General features: G+C 38.7%; 1 protein-coding gene and 1 long non-coding RNA gene across 6 annotated transcripts in view, besides 4 other annotated features; one reads left to right on the top strand and one right to left on the bottom strand.

Annotated features, from left to right (window-relative positions):
* Window positions 1–305: 305 nt before the first annotated feature.
* On the bottom strand, window positions 306–17,404 carry VPS13B-DT (VPS13B divergent transcript). Its single transcript, NR_187478.1, has 2 exons — window positions 17,244–17,404; window positions 306–1,341 (listed from the first exon to the last, which is right to left on the bottom strand). It is a non-coding gene; the product is annotated as a VPS13B divergent transcript (long non-coding RNA).
* Window positions 17,394–17,613: an enhancer, noted in NCBI's record as "active region_27682". NCBI's record gives its function as "activates an Ori minimal core promoter by ATAC-STARR-seq in GM12878 lymphoblastoid cells {active_cell/tissue: GM12878}" and the evidence as "EXISTENCE:reporter gene assay evidence [ECO:0000049][PMID:35858748]".
* Window positions 17,394–17,770: a biological region, named in NCBI's record as "Sharpr-MPRA regulatory region 5914".
* Window positions 17,464–17,638: a silencer, noted in NCBI's record as "fragment chr8:100025317-100025491 (GRCh37/hg19 assembly coordinates)". NCBI's record gives its function as "represses an EF-1alpha promoter that drives an FKBP-Casp9 reporter gene in an ReSE screen in K562 erythroleukemia cells {active_cell/tissue: K562}" and the evidence as "EXISTENCE:reporter gene assay evidence [ECO:0000049][PMID:32094911]".
* Window positions 17,476–17,770: an enhancer, noted in NCBI's record as "tiled region #5914; HepG2 Activating non-DNase unmatched - State 1:Tss, and K562 Activating non-DNase unmatched - State 1:Tss". NCBI's record gives its function as "activates a minimal TATA promoter and a strong SV40 promoter by Sharpr-MPRA in HepG2 and K562 cells {active_cell/tissue: HepG2 | K562}" and the evidence as "EXISTENCE:reporter gene assay evidence [ECO:0000049][PMID:27701403]".
* VPS13B (vacuolar protein sorting 13 homolog B) overlaps window positions 17,649–18,055 on the top strand; it is an 864,307-nt gene continuing 863,900 nt past the window's right edge. For all 5 annotated transcript variants that reach the window (NR_047582.2, NM_152564.5, NM_017890.5 and 2 more), the window contains exon 1: window positions 17,649–17,722. The gene's annotated coding sequence lies outside the window, so the exon portion shown is untranslated. The remainder of the gene's footprint in view (window positions 17,723–18,055) is intronic.

The raw sequence follows: 18,055 nt of genomic DNA on the forward strand, positions 1-18,055 counted from the left end.
TTTATTATAGTTAGAACATTACCTGTTTCTTTAAATACCATGTAACACCCACCTGACAGTAAGTAAAAAACAAAAAAGTGTCTTAAAAATAGTGTATAAAAAAAGACAATAATATGTTCCATATAACGTAAATATAGTGGAAAAATACCTGTATAGAAGAGGACTGGATATGTATGCACTAAAATGTTAGCAGTTGTTACCTCAGAATGATGGCATTGTGGTTAAATTTAATTTTTGAATTTCTAGTTTTTTTCTTTTTCAATGAACATTTATCAGGTTTAAAATAAAGATGACCATAACAAATATTTTACATATATCATTATTAAACTTTATTATTATTTTCCTTAGGAGAAAGGGTAGGTTGAAAAGTCAAGATTTTTTTTTTTTTCCTTTAGGCTGGGAAGACTAATCAGAGAGACTGCGAAGTAAAAGGGTTGTTTATGATTCACCATCAAACACATGTCTTTAATTATCACTCTGAATCCACATAACAATATTCCTTTTTGGCACAAGGTCTGTACTAGATGAATGATAAAAAAGAGCCATAAGTGTGTAAGTGCCATAAGTGTGTAGTATTCAGAGACAGACAAGATCCTCTCTAGTTGCAGTGGTCAAAAAGTCTTATCGAGTAGGAAGGCTTTGACATGAACCTTTTTTTTCTAAGTTTAAAACTATTTTATTTATTTTTTCAGAGACAGGGTCTTGCTTTGTCACCCAGGCTGGAGTGCAGTGGCGGGATCATAGCAGCCTCAAGCTCCTAGGCTCAAGTGATCTTCCTGCCTCAGCCTCCCAAGTAGTTAGGACTACAGACATGTGCCACCATGACCAACTACGTTTTAAATTTATTTTTGTAGCAACAGGGTCTCCGTATGTTGCCCTGTCTGGTCTCAAACTCCTGGCCTCAAGTAATCCTCCTATGTCGGCCTCCCAAAGCACTGGGGTTACAGGCATTAGCTACTGTTCCCAGCTTTCATTTGGACTTTAATGGATAAGGAAGACTTAGAGCAGCATTATCAAATTCTTTGGCCTTAGGACCCCTGTATAACACTCTTCAATATTATTGAGGACCCCAAACAGGTTTTGTTTATATGGGTTATATCTATCTGTATTTACCATATTAGAAATTAAAACAGACAATTTACAAATATTTATTAATTTATTTTAACCTAAATTACATGTTAACATAAATATTTTTATGAACTATATTTCCCCAAACAAAAACAGTTAGCAAAGTGGTATTGTTTTACATTTTGCATTTTAACAGGAGACAGGTGGGTTCTTATATTTGCTTCCGTTGTGATACTGCATGTCATGTAGCCTCTGGAAAACTCTACTGTACACCTGTAACAGAATGAGAGTAAAAAGGCAAATAGCATCTTAGTATTATTATGAGCGTACCATTGACATTGTGGGCCCCCGAGAAGCACTCTGAGAACCACTGATTAAAAAAGACTAAGGGCAAAATAGAGGGATGGCATAATTTTAAAGGTAGGAGGGTATAAGGCATGTTACAGAGAGAGCAAACAGACCAATCTGGTAGTTGTGAAAGATTCACATGGGGGAGGTGGAGGAGATATGGCTAGAAATGTATACTGGGGGATCGTGTTATATCAATTAAAAAATACTAGCTTCCTTAATTATGACCATCTTCACTGACCTCTAATTTTGGCATCAGTAAGCTTCAGGGTAGGAATGATAGAAGAGAAATTCATATTGGTTTCAGGCAACTCTAAAGTTATGTGGCTGACAGTATTCTAATTGATTTGTTGATTGCTTTATCTATTTAATGTATTTAGTGTTTACTACATTCAAAGAAGCAACATAAGAACTAGTGATACAACGATGATAAAGACACAGTCTCTACTTTATAGGAGCTCCCAATTGAGTGGAAGATTCAGATATTAAAATAAGCAATACACTCATTAATCTGGAGGAAGACAGAGGAGAGGGCTGCTAACTGTGCCTGGGTGGTGTCATAGACAGCATTGTACAGGAAACCTTTAAGTCCCAAATACTAATAACCACTGATACATGACCATGGTGAGAAATACTTGATGTATAAGGATGACAGATTCAGTACTAGAGTTAATACAGTAGTTCTGGTGAGATAGTCAGATAGTCTATAGAAAAATTTCCTGAATATATGTTCTCTTTTGAAAGTAAGAGTGTACAAATTTTCTTTCTCCTAAAGCCCTGCAGCATCTTTCTACTGCTAGGCCTGGGAGACACCATCAGTTATCTTAATGTCTCTATTTTCTTCAGTTTGATCACCTTTTTAAATCTTTTTGTTCTCTGTGACTCAGTAACAAGAGTGAAGGGGAGGAAGAAATTTAGGTAATTACAACAGCTTTAAACTAAGAACTGAGAACACCTTTACTAACCCAACTAATTATGATTAAATACGTAAATAGAGAACCTATCTCCCAGCACCACCTGCAGGGGATGAGGAAGTCTGCAACAGGATTCAACACTTCCTTTTCTGCCAACATATCTTTAGCCCAACATTCCATTATTGAGAATCTACCAAGTTAAGAGCCTGCTTTTAGTGGCTGAGGAGAATACAAAGACCAATAAGGATAATCTACCCATACTCTGAGGAACATTATTAAAACTTGGGGATGTTTGTGATAATTAAAATAGCTTGGAAAGAACTGATTAAATCGAAGAGAATCAGACTTCTTTTGTGAAGATTGAATAGTAAAGCAACTACTGCATTGCCATTTTACATCCCCCACTGATAGAAACTAATAACAAAGGTGATTCCACAGTTTTAAAAGTAAAATAATAATGATTAGTTTTGGATCTTCAAGTCTGTTAAGTTTGCAATATGATGGGAAAAGCCTGTGTTGCACACCATCTTATATGGACCTGTTAAGCATGCTCTTTTCCTAATTTAAGGCTGGCCCCAGACAGCTACCTTAGGGCTCTCTGCTAGTCATTAGAGGAATCAGATGGAAAAAGATACATGGATTAGTATAAATCCATATGCACCTATTCAGTAAGTAATAAGAACTTTTTCCAGTAAGAGCTTTTTCTTTACTTATCAAATCATGTCCTAGAATTTAAAGAGAATGAGGTTTTCAAAAGTTCCTAGTCTTTTGAAATCTCACAAACAAGGATAAAATATTTGTTTTTTGATTTCAGAATTTAACAAAGAAGCAGAATATACCAGACACACAAGAAGCAAAAGAAATGAAATGAGCATTCATAACAACACGCTTAGAGCACAGAAAGCCTTATCCTGGGTGAGTGATCAGGAATATGAATAAAGCTGATCTGTAGGATGGCTTTCAATGTTTTTGTTTAGATGTGCAGTCTTACTATATGTACAGGCAAGATTACTAGAGGGAACAGTCAGTCAGCTATCACCCATCCTACAACCCAAGAAAATGCTCACAGGCACCTGGGTAGTCATATTCAGGTGTTCTCAGTCTTTTTTCACTAGAGTTTTGAACTGCCTATTGTATATTAAGGCTTGAGTTACCACTCCCAATTTATACCACTTTCCAAAATCACACCACACATTATAAAAACAATGATATGGATTGGTAATTACAATAATACACCGTCAGAGGTAAAGGGATACAATATGTCATGTAGACCAGTTATTTCTCAACGTATGGGTTCTATATCTGCAAAATAATGTATTGCTTATTACAAATTCAGACTACTAGGCTCCATGTCAAAACGAATCAATTTCAAGCCAAGGATGGAATCCAAGAATCTGCATTTTTGACAAGCTCCTTAAGATGATATGTGCATTAAGGTTTGGGAACCATTCATATAGTCAAACTCCTTCATATGACAGATAAGGACATCATATGAGAGAAGTTAAGTGATTTGGCCAAAGTGGACAGCCAGTCAGAGGCAGAAACCAGACTCACACTTAAATCTTGACTCCTAAGCTACAATTTTTCCAGTTATAAATAGTTTGTATTTATTTGTAAATTCCCGGTACACCTAAATGAAAACGGAATTTGAGGTCTTTGTTCCTTGACATTCCCCAAAGGTTTAATACCAATAATTTACTATTAATGGGCTCCCAGCACTTGCTAAGTAAGCTGTTGTCTTCCGATTTAGGGAATATCAACTATAGAAGCTTGTGGACAAAGGTGTTTTGTTAACTTGTTACCATCCCATTCCCCTTCACAATAAGACATGCAAGTTCATTTATCAACAAGAGCATATACTCATTTTTCTCAAATCACAAGAGACAATAAAAAGTAAATGGAAAACCCTGCTACTAGTGTTAAACAAGAATATCCCAGCCTCTATAACAACATACCATATGGTATTTCCCTACCTTGTTCAGTATTTAACCTAACAATTTATTGCTAGGCTTCTTGGCAGCAAGCTGTGCAAGTTGAAGTGGAATCTGATTGAGGTGAGTTAATTAATGTGGTGGCAGCTCGGAATGTTGTCCAGCTGCCAGTGAGAATTATGTTTGTTTGCCTTTGGCCCAAGTGTGAAATGGCTGGCTGTTGATTTCAGAAGTGTGAGTGTACATTTTTATATCTCACATGAATGAATACATTTTTTGTATCCTACACATTTGGGGAAATGCTAAAATTTATTGGGTCATGTTATTTACCACTTGTGTGGCAGAAAGAGAAAGGTGGAATTTTGCCCCAGAGGTTGACTTTGCATCTGTAGAAAAAGCAAAAGCAGGTGGCATATAAATCCATGAGCAGGTAAATAAGCTGTCTGAAATTAGCTCATCTGGCCTAATGTTTTAAAGAATAACTTTTAAAAGGAGGTAGGCAAGATTTTTGAACCAGAAAAGAATAACTCTTGTAATGATGAAAGGATTTTGAAAGTAGGAAACATAGTTTTTAGATTTCCCTGGAAAGACATGGCTTTTGGATTTACTGTTGACTTACATTTACAATTCTTATTTTTACTACACACAACCTTCTATTGAATACATCATCTCACTGTGCAATCTTCCTTTCTATCTATAACTGATGACAGTGATTTCTGTGATGTGTTCTTAATGTTCTTGATAATTTTGACTAGCTGTTACTGATATGAGCAGGGGGTTCTCCAATTCAAGCAGTCAATAACTGACACTAAACTAACAAAGTTCAAAGAACATTTGAAGTGTGTCAGATATTATTCCCCTATTTTTTTCTATGTAATATCCTGTTAAGTTAAAATGCCTTGAGAAAAGTTTACCTTAGATTAAGGAAATAGATACTTAAAAATATAATGTATAAATATTTCTTTTATTTTACCATTTTGAACAAAATTAATACACTAAAAGCAAAGGAAATAGCATGGAAGTGATGTAAGAGCAAATAATATGAAAAGTTTGCAAATCTAACAAAGCATTACCAAAACCCTTTTTGATGACAAGCAGATTTCCTTAAATTTTGATGTTACCATGAGGATATTAAGAAAACTTTAAAATAAAAGTGTTCATACTTTGGAAGACATTCAATGAAATTAGTCTGGTAAAAAATCTAGTAAAAATAGTATTTTAGATGCAGAAGTATATAGAAAAAACACAAGTGAATTAGTGCAGATATAGGACCATGGATTCACAGAACTTTAGAGAATAAAGAGAAAGTAAGGAAATTTGAATAAAGTATGAATTTAGTTAGTAATAATGGATTGATATTTGCTCATTGATCATTACAAATGTACCATACTCATGTATGATGTTAATAATAGGAGAACTAGACAGATTCCTAGGCTAAGTTTCTGTGCTGGTAAAATTCATATACATATGAAGTACTGAATGAATGGTATCATTCTTAAGGTATTATAACTTGTGTTGATGTCAGTAATCATCTAGTACATGACAACTTCTAGAGATTCATAGGATTGTGATATTTGTTATGCTAAGGCCTCCTGAACAAAAATGGCACTTTATTTAGAAGGTGCATCAGTGTATTAGTTATTTGTGTTAAGAATTACCTCAAGGACAGGTGCGGTGGCTCATGCCTGTAATCCCAGCACTTTGGGAGGCCAAGGCAGATGGATTACCTGAGCTCAGGAGTTCGAGACCAGCCTGGCCAACATGGTGAAACCCCGTCTCTACTAAAAATATAAAAATTAGCTGAGCATGGTGGTGGGGACCTGTAATCCCAGCTACTCAGGAGGCTGAGGCAGGAGAATTGCTTGAACCCGGGAGGCAGAGGTTGCAGTGAGCTGAGATCACGCCATTGCATTCCAGCCTGGGTGAGAAGAACAAAACTCCATCTCAAAAAAAAAAAAAAAAAAAAAAAAAGGGGGGGAATTACCTCAAAATCTGGTAGATTAAAGCACTAAATATTATCTCATAATTTCTGCTGTGGTTCAGGAATTTAAGAGCAGCTTACCTAGGGGGTTCTGGCTCAGGGTCTCTCATGAGGTTGCAGTCAAGATGTCATCCTGAACTAGAGTTATTTTATTTTTTTACACAATGAATTACTTTTATTTCGGTATGCATCCACATTTCAGCATTTAATGGTCCTGAACAGAAAGTGGAAAGACGCACCAATTTCCCAGGAGGTCAAGCCCGCCAATTTCAGGGATCTGCTATGCACACTGGGTTCTTTCTTAATCCCTGCTGAGGATCTTGAGAAGCAGCAGCAGCACCAAAACCAAGGCACGCACTGGATTCAAGGTTCTTTTTGTTCCAGTTGTCAGATTCCAAACTAGACCTCAATGGATTGCAAGGATGACCAAATGAAAGCCCTGTTTAAAACTTCTTCAGTTTTTAAAAGCAAAAGCAATTACAGGAAGTAAAACAATTCAGAGGGATCACGTGTGCTTACAAGTGTCTTCTTGTGGTCTTTCTCCAATTTCAACCACCAAGGACTCCGAGAGCTGGCAGGTCTGAGTAACCCTGGTGACTTTCCTTTTCACCTTATCAAAACCTGAGCTAAAAACAACGCATCAGCTGACGACAGCAGAGGGTGGCAGGGCTGAAAACCCAATATTCATTTCCCAGGCTGATGGAGAATGAATAAGTATGGTTCCAAAACTAAACAAGGGAGGTTAGAGACTTTCTAACCTTACCTGATGGCTTCTGCCCAAAGCAAGGAAGTGTCATGGAAGGTATTGAGTGGTGATGGTGCAGAAAGCAACTTGAGGAGGGAAGAAAAAACAGCATCCCTCGATAAAGGTGGGGGAGAGAAGATACTGGGAAAGCCCTGAATTCCTTACCAAAGGCCAATCTTAGAGGGGAGCGGAGGGGTTACAACCTATGCTTCTGCCAAAGGCAGGAGTGGAGGAGTGTGGGGACAGGATGACGGATTGGAAGGTGCATAAGACTTAAAGAAACCAGGGGTGCAGGTGAAGCACCCCACACACCTAGCAGTAGTCCCACAGGCTGCAACCTGAAACCTTCACATCCACTCTAACAAGCCAAGCTAGAGGGCTGTTGCAGGGAGGGTGGGAGGCAGGAGGGTAAGGGGAGAAGGCAGAGACCCCCAGGCCATGTAATCAGCAAGGTGATTGTGTGATGTTTCTTTTCACAGTTGAGTTAGATATGCCCCACTAGTTATGATGGGAATCAATTTAATTAGAATTTCTCGATTCCAGAAGTTCAACTACGTGGACAGTGGTTACACTTGATAGGATGATTTGTTATAGCAAAACTTATATATTTCAAATGGATAATTAGTATCATTTACAGTATCTTAAGATAAATTTCCTTTGAATTGGAGCTTCCTTTCCAGTACTTTGAGGTCTACATGATGTATCTAGAAAATTTACTACTGTGGAAAACGAAGACTGCTTAAATCGAATCGGGCGGGGGGAAGCGGAAGGGCCTGTGGTTTTTCTTTTTGATTAATTGCTGTAACACTGTCCTGCCGGTGGCTGAGGGAGTTTCATATTTTCTTTAGACATCAATAGGCACTGAAGCTCTTGCAGGACAACTTTGATGCTATATGAATTCTGCCATTTTGCTAGCACTGATATGGCTCTTGGGTCCACTACTCCATTAGAACTATTAACTCCATTTACATTAATTTTTGTTACAAATCTTACAAAGGGGGGTGCTAGTGGGTATTTAGGTCCACATTCTATTTTAAGGCTGTATATTTGGTTTTCATAAATTGTTCTTGGAGGCCCAATTATCATCCCTGTCCATCTTTTGTCATGTCTTCATCATCTTCTAGACCTCAGCTAACTGTGCCATCTCCTACTCCTTTCTGGCCTTCTCTGAGTTCTTCCAACAGTCAGAAATTGTGAGGGACTTTTACTCCCGAGCCCATGGTGGCTGCCGTCTTGCGTTGCTGACGCTTGAAGGCCGGCCCCGAACTACAGTCATTTTAAGGCTGACTGTGCTCAGATAGCCCAAGTTCTTGGGTTTCCTGTTGGCAAGAGGACTGAGTTTTTGCCATGTGGACATTGCATAGTGCAGCTTGAGTATCCTTATGACACAACAGCTGGCTTCTCCCAGAGCGAATAATCTAAGTCAAAGAACAAGGAGAAAGCCACAAAGTCTTTTATGTCCTAATTTTGGAAGTCACAAACGGTCACTTCTGCCACATTGTATTGTTAGAAGTAAGCCAATAAATATAATCCATACTCAAAGGGAGGAGAATTAGGCTCCAACTTTTGGAGGGGGTATAATTAAATAATTTGTGGACATATTTTAAAATCACTGCAACCAATAAGGAAATTCATGTAGAAAAAGACTTTAAAGATGTTTCTGATGTTGCTAACTTAGGAAAGTATTCACCCTTTGTCACCATAACCAGGCAGGTGGACCTAGATTTCCTATAACATTTCCTTACACCAAATTTATTCCCCCAGTTTTCTTCTTAAAATATGACTGCTACAACAAATTACTGTAAACTGGGTGGCTTAAACAACAGAAGTTTATTCTTTCACAGTGCTGGAGGTCAGAAGAAAATCAAGGTGTCAGCAGGGCTATACTCTCTCTAGAGGCTCTAGAGGAGAATCTGTTTTTGCCTCGTCCAGTTTCTGGTGGTTCTTGGCATCCTCAGCTGTTAACGGTGTCATTCCAGTCTGTGTCGTCATGGTGGCATTGCTTCCTCCTATCTGTGTTATCTTTCTTTGCCTCATTCTTGTACAGACACTTGTTACTGGATTTAGAGCTCACCTGGAAAATCTAGGATAACACTCCTCTCAATTTTTTTTTTTTGAGATGGAGTCTCGCTCTGTTGCCCAGGCTGGAGTGCAGTGGCACAATTTTGGCTCACTGCAACCTCTGCCTCCTGGGTTCAAGCTACCTCAGCCTCCTGAGTAGCTGGGATTACAGGTGCAGGCCACCACACCTGGCTAATTTTTGTATATTTAGTAGAGATGGGGTTTCGCCATGTTGGCCAGGCTGGGCTTGAACTCCTGACCTCAGGTGATTCACCCACCTCTACCTCCCAAAATGCTGGGATTACAGGCATGAGCCACCATGCTGGCCCTTAAAATTCTTAACTACATATTTTGCCCTATAAGGTAATATTCAGTCTGTTACTATATATGGGAATAGTAATGGGTTCTGGGGATTAGGCCATGTCTTTTTGGTCACCATTTAGTCCACCACACCTAGTATCTCTATTAATTAGCATGGCAAAATTGGAGAACAAAAAGATCTCTATTGGCCAGTTGTGGTGGCTCATGCCTCCTAGTACCTTAGGAGGCCAAGGCTGGAGAATCACTTGAGGCCAAGAGTTCAAGGCTAGCCTGGGCAATATAGTGAGACCCCATTTCATATACATACATATATATATATACACACACACACACACATACATACATGCATATATATATACACACACACACGTGTATATATATACACACACACACACACTTATATGTGTATATATATACATACACACACACATTTAAAATTAGCCAGGTGTGGTAATGCACACCTGTAGTCCTAATTACTCAGGAGGCTGAGGCGGGAGGATCACGTGAGCCTAGGAAATTGAGTTTATAGTTAGCTACATGATTGTACTACCATACCCTAGTCTGGGCGGCAGAGTCAGACCCTGTCTTGAAAAAAAAAAAAAAGATACTTAAGATAACCCTAAAGATTGACCACAACTTTTTAAAACATTTTAATTTATTTATGTTTTTATACGGAGTCTTGCTCTGTTGCCCAAGCTGGAATGCAGTGGCATGATCTCGGCTCACTGCAACCTCCACCTCCCCGGTTGAAGTGATTCTCCTGCCTCAGCCTCCTGAGTAGCTGGGACTACAGGCATGTGCCACCACGACCAGCTAATTTTTTTGTATTTTCAGTAGAGATGGGGTTACACCATGTTGGCCTGGCTGGTCTCAAACTCCTGGCCTCAAATGATCTGCCTGCCTTGGTCTCCCAAAGTGCTGGAATTACAGACATGAGCCACTATGCCTGACTGTATTTATTTTGAGAGAGGGTCTCACTGTGTTACCCAGGCTGGAGTGCAGTGGTGCGATCTCGGCTCACTACAGCCATGACCTTCCAGGCTCAAGCAATCCTCCCACCTCAGCCTCCCAAGCAGCTGGAACTACAAGCATGCACCACCATGCCCGGCTAATTTTTTGTTTATTTTTTGTAGAGATGGTCTTACTGTCTTGCCCAGGCCAGTCTTGAACTCCTCAGCTCAAGTGATCCTCCTGCTTGGCCTCCTGAAATGTTGGGAATGATTACTGGCATAAACCACTGTGCTGGGCTTCTTATTTTTATTTTACCTTATTTATTTTTTTAGAGTCAGAGTCTTGCTCTGTCACCCTGTCTAGAAAGCAGTGGAACAATCATAGCTCACTGCAGCCTTGATCTTCTGGCCTTAAGTGATCATCTCACCTCAGTCTCCCAAGTAGCTGGGAGTATAGGTGTACACCATCATACCTGGCCAATTAAAAAAATAAAATACACACACACACACACACACACACATTTTTTTTTTAAAGAGATGGGGTCTCACTATGTTGCCCAGGCTGGTCTCCAACTCCTGGCCTCAAGTGATCCTCCTGCCTTGGCCTCCCAAAGTGCTGAGATTACAGGTGTGAGCCACTGCACCCAGCAACGTTCCTTTAAAATTTGCTACAGATAATTAAGATAATAAAATACCTGTAAATTCCTGTTTGGAAAAAGTGAGATGATTTTTTTTCAAAGTGTGATATAAAATTAAGAAATATTATTCTAGTTAATTTTAATAATCAAGTATTTTGAAAAAAATATGAATAACACCCATGTACTCAACACCTATCAAATATTAACATTTTTCCTTTTGTAAAATAAGGAAAACATTACAGATACAGTTGAAATACCCAGTATTCCCTTCCCGTTTTATTTTCCATGTCTTCTTCTTCAGAGGTAATAATACTATCCTGAATTTGGTATTTACCTTTCTCATAAGTTTTAAAAATTATTCCTTTATATAAATATAGGTATCACAATATATAGCATTTCTTGAATACCATATACATGTATATGTATGTATGTGTATATATACATATATATACACACACTATATAATATGCTATACTTGTTATTCAGATTTATTCATGTTGATAAATATATAACTTTGTTTAGTTTTTTTTTTTTTTCAAACTGTAGGTTTCAAATCATTAGTAGCACAGAAAATCAATATAGCAGGTCATGAACTGCTTTAGAAAAAACAGAACAGTAAATAAAATGTATCATAAGTACTCAATTTAATGCCTATATACATATATGTATGTGATTATATATAAGCATATATATATTGAGTCATGGTATGAAATATATTTCTCACTGTAGGTAAAATATTTGAAAGTCATAACATTCATTTTCACTACTATGTAATATTCTATTGTATGAATATGATAGTTAACTACTGTCCTACTGACATTTCAATTGTTTCCACTGTTTTACTAATACAGGTTGAACATCCTAATCCCCAAACCAAAAATGCTTCAAAATCTGAACGTTTTTGAGTGTATAATATGCATGACCCTCAAGGAAATGTTCTTTGGAGGATTTTAGATTTTTGGATTAGGGATGTTAAAGTGGTAAGTATAATGCAAATATTCCAAAATCTGAAAATAATTGAAATCTGAAACAGTTCTGGTCCCAAGCATTTTGGATAAAGGATACTCAACTGGTACAAACAATGCTGCAAAATAGTGTTAAACATATCTCCTTGTGCATACACACAAGTTTCTTTCTTTTTTTTTTTTTTTTTGAGAGACAGAGTCTTGCTCTGTCACCCAGGCTGGAGTGTACTGGTGCGATCTCGGCTCACTGCAACGTCTGCCTCCTGGGTTCAAGCAATTCTCCTGCCTCAGCTTCCCAAGTAGCTGGACTGCAGGCGTGCACCACCACACCTGGCTAATTTTTGTATTTTTTTTTTTTAGTAGACATGGGGTTTTACTACATGTTGGCCAGGCTGGTCTCGAACTTCTGACCTCAGGTGATCCGCTTGCCTCGGCCTCCCAAAGTGCTGGGATTACAGGTGTGAGCCACTGCGCCTGGCCTGCAAGTTTCTATAATACTTACAAGTAGATTTGTTGGGTCATAGGGTATATGCGTCTTCAACTCTGCTAGATATTGCTTAATTCCTCTCCACTGTGTTGTTCTCAGCAACAGTGCACTAGGTTCCTATCATGCCACTCATTAACATTATACATTAAAAATATTGTCAGTCTGATAGGTATGGAATAGGTCATTATTGTTTTAAATTGAATTCCCCTGATTAGTGGAGCTGAACATGTTTTTTGTGATTATTACACATTTGGGTTTCCTCTTCTATGAATTGGTTGGTTTTCTATTGCATTTGTTCATTAATTTGTAGTGTATTATAAAATGAGTTCTTTTTCTTTGTTGAGTAATGAACATTTTTCATCATCGTCACCCAGCTTGTGGCTTGTATTTTGACATGTGCTTGTATTTTGACATGTTCTTTGATGAACAAGCTTTTTTAATTTTAATGTATAAACTTACTAAGCTTTTCATTGAAAGTTTGTCCTTTTTATGTCTTTGTGCCTTACCTTATTTAAGAATTCCTTCCTCTCTGAGGCATAACAATTTTTGTCCTATAATTTCTCTAAAAATTAAAAAAAATATTGAATTTTTAATCCATTTTGAGTTTATTTTTGTGTTCGTTGTGAACAGAGGTAGATTTACTCTACCATCACTTGTATAAGCTCTTTTCAAGGCTCTGGGAGAAGCCCAAGTAATGTTCACATGGGTTGTGTTTTTACAAAATTTTCAAAAGTTAATTTATTTTGGAATTTCCTTAGGAATCCCCAAATTATAAGTTTTTGGCTTCATAAAACTTGGACTTCTTTCCTACATCTGAGGTAGGAATCTAATTTTTCTCCATATAGGTAGTAATTGTTCTAGTATCAATTACTGAAATATGCACTCTTTGCCATTGATTGTCATATATAAAGATGCCATGTTTGAAGGGGTTTCTTTCTGGGCTCTTTATTCAGTTATATTGGCATGTTTGCCTATCCCTCTGATTTGTTTTGATGTAGTAGAGATTTCTAGGACTCTATCTGTCTTCCAAAAGGGTCTTAAACTAGGTCATTCCATTGATGATTTATTTTAGTGAAAATTACAGTTTTCTGATTTTGCTTGAAAGGCTTAGGTCAGTGGAAAAAAATACATTGTTATCTGTAACTGGTAACTCCTCTCTTAAACCTTGACTGATTTTCTCACATAGTTCTAAATGATTTTTTACAGTGTCCCACAGCACTTTTTACATAATCTACTTAATCATATAATATTTTAATAGGTCATTTATATCTGTGATTCCAATGAAACTGAGCTCCTTCAATGTGGGCATGCCTAAGTGACTGGTATGCTGTAAAACACATAGTGGGCATTCAAAGAATGTCTCAGCTAATGAGTAAATTCAGAATATTAAACTAACATACATAAATAACTTGAGCCAATGATGATTAGTTTCTTGCCAACTGGACTTATGATCTATACTGTGCCCAATTTTCATAGTGAGATAATATCTACGTGACTTGGATATTTGTTTACACTTAACTCTGAGGGTATATTAAGAATCTTTACATGCTGTAACTCTTTAGGAAGCCAGTCAGAAGCGCACTGTACAGCTGCTTAATGTGTATGACTTTAAATCCAGAAAACTGTTGTTCTATTGATTGTAGTAATTAATGGTTTTTCTTTTTTCCTTCTCAAAAGGGAGAAATAAAGTCAGAAGACTTTGGTTGATTACAATTTTAACATTTCTGAAACAAAGTTGAATTAAGATCAGCTTATGTCTATTATATGAATTGGTTAAAATAATACTTCCTGCTGTGACAGATAACCCTCCAAATCTCAGTAAGTTTAACAGTAGTTTATTTCTAAATCATGGAAAATCCTAATGGATGTTACTTATCAGCAGTTGTTTCTCTAGGCAATGACTCATAAACTCAATCTCCTAGTTTTTGTCCTTAACATCTCCTTGGACCTTGGAGTCCTCTGCACACTTTTATCCTGCTTGGTGACGGAGAAAGACTAAGGCTGTCATGTGGGAGGCTTTTATGAGCCAGGCCTGTGCCTACATCACTTCTATCCACATTCAGGTGGTCAGAACTCAGTTACTTGACAACACCTGGCTGTTAGACAGCCTGAATAATAATCTAGCCCTGTGTACACAAGGAAAAGGTAAGCAGATTTCCTGAATAATTGTTAAAGTAAATCACTGTCATAACCTATTAGGTACCACATAATATGCAAGGCATTAGGGATACAGGTCCCTGTAGTTGAAGATCCCATATATATATCACACATAATAGAAAACTAAACAAAAAAAGAAGCCTTTCTCTACCTTTTTCAATCTTTTAATCTTGCAGCTAGAAAATCTAGGCAGGGAGATGGAAATAAATAAGAAAATAAAAAACAGAAATGAAGAAACAGAATGGTTAATAACCTTCTAAAGTGGAAAACACTGTGCTTAGGTGGGTTCATTGGTGAGTAATATCAAACATTTAAGGAAGAAATTATACCAATTCTGTATAATCTATTCCAGAAGATAGAAGCAAAGGAATACTTCCTAACTTATTCATGAGCCCAGCCTTACTATAATACCAAAATCAGATAAAGACATTATAAGAAAACCAAACCAATATTTCTCATGAACATAGATGCAAAAATCTTCAACAAAATACTAGCAGATTAAATCCAACAATGTATAAGAGGAAGTATAAGCCATGACCAAGTGGGACTTATCCCAAGTATGCAAGGCTGGTTAAATATTCAACAATCAATTATTGTAATCAATCACATTAACAGGCTAAAGAAGAAAAATCACATGTTCATATCAATAGATGCAGAAAAAGCATTTGACAAAATCTAACACTTATGTTACGATAACTCTCAGCGAGCTTTAGCTTGCTAAAGAACATCTACAAAAACCCTACAGCTAACAACATACTTAATGGTGAGGAACTTGAAGGTTTTCTGTTAAGACCAAGAACCAGGCCTGCCTCTACAGAACCAACCTGCCTCAAAGTCTTGAGAACACTTAAACAATATTTGTGGGGGGAAGAAAAATCTTACAATACAAAGACATAATAGATTTGGAAAAGGCTTAACATTTGACAATTTAAAAAATGAGCAATGAAACTATTAGTGAAAAGGAATTAAATTTATCTTCACTGCTTATGGTAAAGGGCACAGTGGAACACAGATTGAAAACTACAAATTTTTTGATACTTAAACCAAAACACAGTGCCCAGATAATTTTCCCAAGCCAGGAATTTGTCTATTTTTTGTTGGTTCCAGGAGAAAAATGGCATACGTTTAGCATTCCATATGTTTAGCATTCCATATGTTATTTGTTCAAACATCTTAGTCACATTTCTACTCCTATATTTGGCCAATTTATCTTAATATAGTGTTTTTATTTAATAGATCACCACAGAAGAAAACTAGGCCCTTTTTCTCTAGAAAAACGACAAGACCTGGAGCTACTGTTGTAGACTGCTGAGAGGTTCTATACAATTAGCGGAACCATTTTCTTTACGTTAAAACCTCTAAGTCATGGCTTTGACCTGTGTTTCAGATGAAGCAGATAACAGAAAAACAAATTAATTCATTTGTATAATTTGGCAAGTTTTGATAATACTCAAATATTTGAGTTATTATGGCATTTTTGTGAAGGAACAGCTGCTCTGAATTGGCAATTAGCTGCTGCTTCTTTTGGTGAAACTTATTTCCTTATTTTCAATCACAAAATAAACCTAAACACCTTGGCATCCTCAGGCCTCTTTTCTGTTGCAGTTACTGAAGCTCTTTCAAGAAATGGTAATTTTGAATTCCAGGAAAGAGCTTTAGGCATGGGTGGGTATTTAATAACCTTTTAAGAAATCTAGTTTCTGATTTTTTGTTTTGTTTTTCGACAGAGTCTCATTCTGTCGCCCAGGCTGGAGTGCAGTGGTGTGATCACGGCTCACTGCAGCTTCCACCTCTGGGGCTCAAGTGATCCTCCCACCTCAGCCTCCTGAGTAGCAGGGACTACTGGCACCATGCCCAGCTTATTTTTGTATTACTATTATCTTTGTAGAGACGGGTTTTTTCCATGTTGGCCAGACTGGTCTCAAACTTCTGCGCTCAAGCAATTTGGAGGCCTTGGCCTACCAAAGTGCTGGGATTACAGGCATGCATCACCGCGCCTGGCCAGGAGTCTAGTTTCAAAATGCAGTTGTAGGTGTTTTCTTCAGCGATAACCAAAAATAAGACAATCTGGGCAAAACTTGGGGAGCATGTCCTATGCGATTCCTTGAAGCCCAGTGTATATTTTCCGAGTTAATGTTTGAGTTTCTTGACTTTGTTAGCTTGTAAGCTATTATACGGAAAGGTAATATTTTATACTCATTACAGCCTAATAAAACCAACACCGACCCTTACAACTCTGAATTCATTACTTATCAGTTATTTTCACTTTGTCTCTAGAACTCTCAATTCTGTCTTCATTTTGGTTATTCCCGCAGCTTCCCTAAATCCCACGTCAGACTGCAATCCTATGGTTCCCCGCAATATTCTCTTTGACCATCCCTTCCCCCGCCCCTCATCAGCAAACTAGGGAGTACTTTACCATTGCTTTGTGAAAGTACCAGAATGCGAGAACTTGTCTACACGTTTGGCCAAAACGCATCCTCCAACGGTGTATGTCCTAATCCCTTCAATTTTCTTCCCACATCCACCCTCCTTCCAGCAAATAAACCTTGGAACTAAGTTGAAATCTGTCACTTATTTCGCTCCTCCTACCAGCGGCCTATTGCTTCTGCCCTCCCCAGTGAACCCAACCAAGTTCCTCTTCCCAGTCCTCCCATTTCTCAAGAAAAACAACCACCTCTATTTTTTCAGGGCTTTACGTGCTAGGTGTGGTTTCTTCCTCTGCATCGAACCAGCGACCTGGGTGCCTCCCCACCCAAGACGGACCTCCACATCGGGAACCGCCGCCGGCGCAGCGGCCCCAGCAGCCGCAGCCACCTTCTCCCCGGAGCGCCACTTCCGGATCTCGAGTGTTTCCCCTTTACGGTTCCCCCCACCCCCTTAGACACCTCCTAGAGCTTTGTCCTAACTAGCAGGGTCGGAGCTGGGACCCTGGCTAGCAGAACGCAAGAGTTCTCCTTCACGAAGACGCGCAGAGTAGCTTCTCCAGCCTGAGAAATCCGGTCCGGCTGCGTAGAGTGGCAGCCGTGGAGGGACAGTTTGTTTTGAGCACCAAGTGGGACACACCCGGAAGTGGCGCGGTACAGGAGCAGCACTGCCGGCGGGGGCGGGTGCCAGGGACTTGGAGGTGGAGGGGACGCGGCGGTACTCTGGCGTGTGAGCCGAGGGTGGAGTGCAGAGGGAGCGGGAGCGGGACGGGAGGTCTTCTAGCTTTGGTTCTATGGTGGCAGATCCGGCTGGGTTCCGGGAAGCGAGGGCCTCGCGGGGTGGCTGGGTTGGTGAAGGGCTACTGCGGCCGAAGGGGAGCCCGCCTCACTTCATTCTTCCACTCTGAGGGACCCGCTCTCTTCTGGTCACTACGTCTTCCTCCCTCACTTCGCTTGGCGAAGGGTGTTGTACTTGTGAGGAAGTCGCAGCTGGAGCTGGGAGTCCGCTGGAGTTTTTCTCTGTTTCTAAGAGGAGGCGAACGGCCGCTTTGGTGGGGACTTA

This window comes from Homo sapiens, chromosome 8, assembly GCF_000001405.40.
Source record: "Homo sapiens chromosome 8, GRCh38.p14 Primary Assembly".
NCBI lineage: Eukaryota > Metazoa > Chordata > Mammalia > Primates > Hominidae > Homo > Homo sapiens.